The 6,202-nt window shown below is 49.5% G+C and overlaps 1 annotated feature.

The window, feature by feature from the left end:
- Positions 420 to 1,619: an enhancer, noted in NCBI's record as "P300/CBP strongly-dependent group 1 enhancer chrX:52089469-52090668 (GRCh37/hg19 assembly coordinates)". NCBI's record gives its function as "activates an origin of replication core promoter dependent on BRD2, BRD4, P300/CBP, MED14 and CDK7 cofactors, with strong dependence on P300/CBP, by STARR-seq in HCT116 cells {active_cell/tissue: HCT116}" and the evidence as "EXISTENCE:reporter gene assay evidence [ECO:0000049][PMID:35650434]".

The raw sequence follows: 6,202 nt of genomic DNA, 5'->3' as shown, positions 1-6,202 counted from the left end.
GAAAATCTGCTACACTCATACAATAGAATATTATTCTGAAAAAAAGAACTATTGATATATTCAACAACTTGAATTAAACTCAAAGACACTATGCTGAGTGAAGAAGCCAGTCTCAAAAGACTACAGGCTGTATTATTCCATTTCTATGATATCCTGGAAAAGACAATAGTATAGTGATAGAGAACAGATCCGTGGGTGCCAGCGCTTAGGGGTGGGAGAAGGAAGTGACTATACAAGGGCAGCACAAGGAACCCAGGAAGTTCTTTGGGGTGATGCATATGTTCTGGATACTGACTGTGATGGTGGTTATATCTATCTATACATGCGTTCAGATTCGTAGAACTATACCTCAAGTGTCCATTTTACTGTATAATTTCAAAAATTAAGAAAATTTGCCCACCAGGCAAATTAGAATCCTTGCTGTCTGTAAAATTGTTATAATATAGGCATATGTATGCCTAAACACTATTGTTATTTGCTTTTGAGCCATGTAGAAAGGGAATCACATAGCGTGTCCTCTTTTGTATTTGACTTCTTTCACCTAATGTTATGTCTCTGCATGGTCTAGCTCATTCCTTCTCATAGCTGTGCAGTAATTCATAGTGTGAATCTGGCAGAATTTATTTATGTGACTTCTTATTGGTGTGTAATTGGGTTGTTTCCAGTTTTTAGCTATTACAAGTAGGGTTACTCTATGAACATCACTGCATGTACAAGAATTCTCATTACAGGTCTGGATGGTCAAAAAGTAAATCAAACACTAATTAACGATCCAATAGGAGAATGACTGAATAAACTATGGCTACACTAAATGATGGCATATCATCCAAATCAGGTCAGAACAGGTGAGTCATTATTTGGATAAATTACCCAAGTGTTAACCTGGTGGCTGTTGTGATGATGATGCATGGCTCTAATGACTGCATGTGGGTCACAGTGACTCACAGTGAGCTCACTGGGCTCATCTCTAGGCTCCCCATGGGCAGGGGTGAGGACAAACAGGAAGAAACAGTGACACAGCGGCTGGCCACCCCAGAACACTATAGAGACAACCTCACCTGGTCCCCAGCCCACAGTTCTTGCTCACTGCCTCAGAAATTGCCCCACCTGACTGCCCTGAGCACTTCCAGGAAGGCAGCCCCTGGCTTTCCCCGAGGTGGCCTCATCCATCCTTCCCCACCAACCTTGACCCACTCTTCCTTCTCTTGGGGCAAATCTGCTTTCTCAATGCCTCAGCTCCCTTCCATTCACGAGCATCCCCTGCATGTTGGGGCTGAATGATGCCCATTGCACAGGTGAGGAGACTGAGGTCGGTAGAGGGAAGCAGCTGGGCCTGCAGCTGCACAGCAGGTCAGTGGATCTGTGCTGGGTGGGCCGGGCCTCACCCTATAGCTGTGCACCCTCTCAAGCTGTACAGAGATTGTCTGCTGCCTCCTCTTCCGAGGGATCCTTCCAGCCCGTATCTCCCCCAGACCACCAGTCCTGGAGCTTCTAGACCCAGAGTTCAGGCCCTGGGAGATGACTGGGTGGAGGCAGAGCTGGCAGTTGGCCAGGATCTGGCTAGGAGGTTGGTGGCCTTTTCCTGAGCCCCAGGCTCTGTTGGGGCCTGTCCCCAGTGCCTTCAGGATTCAGGCCGGTGCCCTCAGGACTAGCCAACCTATAGCCTGATCTGCCCTGGGCACAGGCCTCTGAGCCAGTGCATCTTGTAGAAGAAAGCATATGATGCAATCATTAAATAAGAAAAGGAAGATAAAATTATATGAGAATTTTCCTTTAGCCATGGAAATGAGCTTCTGGTACAAGGAAAGGGAGTAGGAAGGAGTGAAAAGCCATCTGCAGATGACCCCGAACAGCACTAAAACCTGGCCCTTGGCTGCCCCTACCTGTCCACATGCAGAGAGGGAGGCTCCAAGGGACACCCAGCCTGGAGTTCATGCACCCTGAGGCCTGTGACCCCACCAGTCATGAATGTTTTTGTTTGTTTGTTTGTTTTGAAACAGAGTCTCACTCTGTCACCCAGGCTGGAGTGCAGTGGTGTGATCTCAGCTCACTGCAACCTCCACCTCCTGGGTTCAAGTGATTCTCCTGCCTCAGCCTCCTGAGTAGCTGGGATTAAAGGCCACCACGACTGGCTACTTTTTTTTTTTTTTTGTATTTTTAGTAGAGACGAGGTTTCACAGTGTTGGCCAGGGTGATCTCGATCTTCTGACCTTGTAATCCACCCACCTCAGCCTCCCAAAGTGTTAGGATTACAGGCCTGAGCCTGGCCAGGAGTGAATGTTTAAGACTGTTCCTCTGTCTTCTCTGAGGTTTTTCCAGTCTTGGAGATGAGATGCCCCCTGCTGGCAAAGGTGGGTATCACTGCAACATGGATGCACTGTGCCTAGAGACACCAAGACCTCACCGTGGGACCACAGGCTTCAGTCAGGCTTCCCTGACTGAAAGGAAAAGGTCACTTTGACTTAGCAGGAAGCTCAGGTTTGGACTTGGTCTCACCCTGGACAACAGACACGGAGAAGAGGGAGTGGAGGGGTTGTAGGATGTGGGTGGGTGACAGCAGGGCTAAGGGCTGAGGACCTAGAGAGCAGGGGCCACTGTGAGACTAAGATGCTAGCTCTGGCCAAGCGTGGTAGCTCATGCCTGTAATCCCAGCACTTTGGGAAGCCAAGGGAGGTGGACCACTTGAGGTCAGGAGTTCAAGACCAGCCTGGCCATCATGGCAAAACCCTCTCTCTACTAAAAATACAAAAATTAGCCAGGTGTGGTGGCATGTGTCTGTAATCTCAGCTACTCAGGAGACTGAGGCAGGAGAATCGCTTGAACCCAGGAGGTGCAGGTTTGAACTGAGATCACACCACTACATTCCAGAGTGGGCAACAGAGTGAGACTGTCTCAAAAAAAAAAAAAGAAAAAAAGAAAAAAGATGCTAGCCCTGGTCACAAGGAGGAGGAGAAGGAAGAGGAGAACTGGGAAAACCTCTGCAAAGGACTGTGCTCAGAGATGGGGCTGATGAGAATACAGAAGGCCCTCACCTGTGAATGGGTGATAGAAGTAGAGTTGACAGTCGCGGAGTTGGGTGAGAAAAGCATGATTCATGTTAGGTGGTCAGCCAGTGTCTGGTACAGAATCATGGTGAGGTGAATGCTGATAGTATTCGTATGGATGGTTGTATTAGTCAGAGTTCTCCAGAGAAATAGAACCAATAGGATACCTAGCTATAGATATATAAGAGGAGACTTGTTATGGGAATTGGCTCACATGACTGTGGAGGCTGAGAGGTCCCGCCATCTCCGTCTACAAGCTGGAGAGCCAAGAAGGTGGATGGTGTGATTCAGTCTGAGTCTAAAGGCCCGAGAACCAGAAGAGCCAGAGGCATAACTCGTGGAGTCTGAAGGCTTGAAAACCTGGAGTTCTTATGTCCAAAGGCAGGAGAAGACGGGGTGTCCCAACTCCAGAAGACAACAAATTCCCCTTTCCTCCGCCTTCTTGTTGTACCTGTGCCCTCGAGGGATCGGACAATGCCCACCCACGCCGATCTTCCTCCATCAGTTCACAGATTCAAAGGCCAGAAACACCCTCACAGACACACCCAGAGATAATGGTTTGCCAGCTATTTGGGTTTTTCTTAACCCCGTCAAGCAGACACCTAAAACTAACCATCACAATAGTGATATAAAAGGCATCACTCTGTGAACTGCCTGCGACATGCTGTTCTCCTCTACAGGGTGGGCACTCACTCTCTTGGAGGCTAAGGTCCATCTGTCTACCTCTGTGGCCCCAGTATGGGGACAATGACAGTTATCATCAAGGCTTGCCAAGGAAGAGGGTATGTGGTAGGCAGAATAGTGGCCCCCTAAACACATCCATGTCATTATTGCTAGAACCTATTCCAGCCAGGGAGATGACAGTGGGCCTGTACTCAGCCTTGCCCTGTGCCCAGCACTGCTCTCGGTGACTGACCAGTTGTCTCACCTCTCCTTCACATAACCCTGTGAGGAGGGAAAGTTAGTACCCTGATGACAGACGAGCAAAGGGAGGCAGAGAGAGCTGAAGCCACTTGCCCACCGTCTGATCCGGGGCAATTTAGTCCCTGCCAATGTCACTCCAGCCCCTGCTCCTACCCTGCCTCAACTACTAGACCCATCTAACATGGGCTCGGGAGGAGGGCAGTACACATGTTTTCCCCAAAACCTGCACCTACCCTGCTTGGCGGGCATTAGCCTCCTTTATGAATGGGGAACTGAGGCTGGTCAAGGACAGGTGACTTGCCCAAAGTCACACCACCAGGGCTTGGGGTTCCAGGCTTCTATGAAGCCTGCCAGGCCCCAAAGCCCACGTGTCCTGGGCTATTGTGGGTGTAAATGAGGCCTGAGGGGAGATGGATCCCAACATCTGAGGACAAAATGGGCAGGTCCTGTCCATCCCCTGAGAGGTGGTGTTCCTGCTCCATGGCTGGCATCAGGAGCACAGGATAGAGGATTTCCCACCAGACAATCTCCACAAACAGGCCTGAGGGAGCCTCTGGAGCCTCCAGGATAGAAGGCAAGACCTGGAGCCCAGGGGAGGTTCTGCAGGAAGGAGGCTGCCTACACTGCGTGGTCCACACCAGGAGGCCGGGGCGCTGCGAGCCTGTGTGCAGGAGTCAAGGACACTCACGCTACTCCCACTTCCCACTGCACTCTGCTTCACTTATGAGGGTTTTTGTGTGTGTCTGTGCCCGAGAGTGTATGAAACATAAGTCTATGTTTTATAAGCTGTACATTCATGTAACAACCACATAGTTCAAGGTTGATCATCATCCCAGAAGTCCCCAGGGTCCCTTCTCAATCAGTGTGTTTTTCCTCACTGTCCCCCACCTTCCCCTTTCTGCCTCTCTCTTCCATCCCAGTTCCTTTCTCATTCCTAAAGTCCTGCCTTCCCATTGGAAGTAGAAATGTCATGCTGGCCATGGTTCCCATATTATCATTAATAATTTCTACTGGCTGGCTGGCTGACTTTCAGTGTGGATGGCACCTTCCCCCCAGCTGTGGGCTCAAGCCCTATGTCTCCTGTGGTGCAACAGAAGGTCATCCCTCTTTTAGGAATTTCAGGTGTGAGCAGGAGAGCAGGCTCAGGGCACTTCTCTGAGCCTCAGGTCCTTCATCTGTGACATGGGAGAACCCCATCTCCCTCTCAGGTTGTGGGAGAAATAGAGATGGGGACACCAGGCACCTGTCAATGAGTGCCACATGTCAAAACCTTGGATGAGCCTTTCTTTACCATCACACATCCTTGAGATCCCGGACCCACCAGGTGCTTCCCCTGCTCCAGGGCTGTTGCACTTGCTGTTCCTTCTGCCTGGAATGCTCTTCCCTCAGGTAATTGCAAGGCCTGCTCCTCACTGCCTCCAGGTCTCTGCTCAGTCATCACCTCTTCAGGGATGCCTTCCCCACACATCCTGAATAAAATAACAACATCCTGCCCATTTACCCATTTACCTGACCCTGTCTTAACTTTTTTTTTTCTAAGATGGAGTTTCGCTTTTGTCACCAAGGCTTGAGTGCAATGGCGCAATCTCGACACGCTGCAACCCCCGCCTCCAGGGTTCAAGTAGTTCTCCTGCCTCAGCCTCCCTGGCAGCTGGGATTACAAGCGCCCACCACCATGCCCAGCCAATCTTTTGTATTTTTAGTAGAGATGGAGTTTCACCATATTGGCAGGCTGGTCTCGAACTCCTGACCTCAGGCGATCCACCAGCCTCGGCCTCCCAAAGTGTTGGGATTACAGGCATGAGCCACCGCGCCCAGCTCCTGTCTTAACTTTCTACCTAGCACTTGCTGCCCTGTGATATGCTATGTATTTACTGATAACTTCTATTGTGTCAGAGTCTCTTTCGGTTTTGTTACCTGTTGTATCCTCTACACCTAGAACATAGCTCACGAAATCCTTCTTAAAGGGTGATTGGGAGCCAGACACTTTAAACACATCACTAAGATGCATAGATTCTCTCCAAGGAGGGTATTGGAATCATTTTATTGATTATGATTTCTATTGAGTCTTGAGAAGACAGTTTCCCTAGGCTTTGAAAATATGTCTGCATGTCTGCCAGGCTTCAAAACTCATAGTGTCCTGGACACTATAATAATGAGTGTTGATTTGGTCTGAGGGGAGATAGACTCCAATATTTGAGAACAAGATGGGCAGTACTCTCATTCTGTGATTA

Source organism: Homo sapiens, chromosome X (genome assembly GCF_000001405.40).
Source record: "Homo sapiens chromosome X, GRCh38.p14 Primary Assembly".
In the NCBI taxonomy this organism is placed as follows: Eukaryota; Metazoa; Chordata; class Mammalia; order Primates; family Hominidae; genus Homo; species Homo sapiens.
The sequence above is the reverse complement of the archived record's forward strand: the minus strand, read 5'-3'. Positions and strand labels throughout refer to the sequence as shown.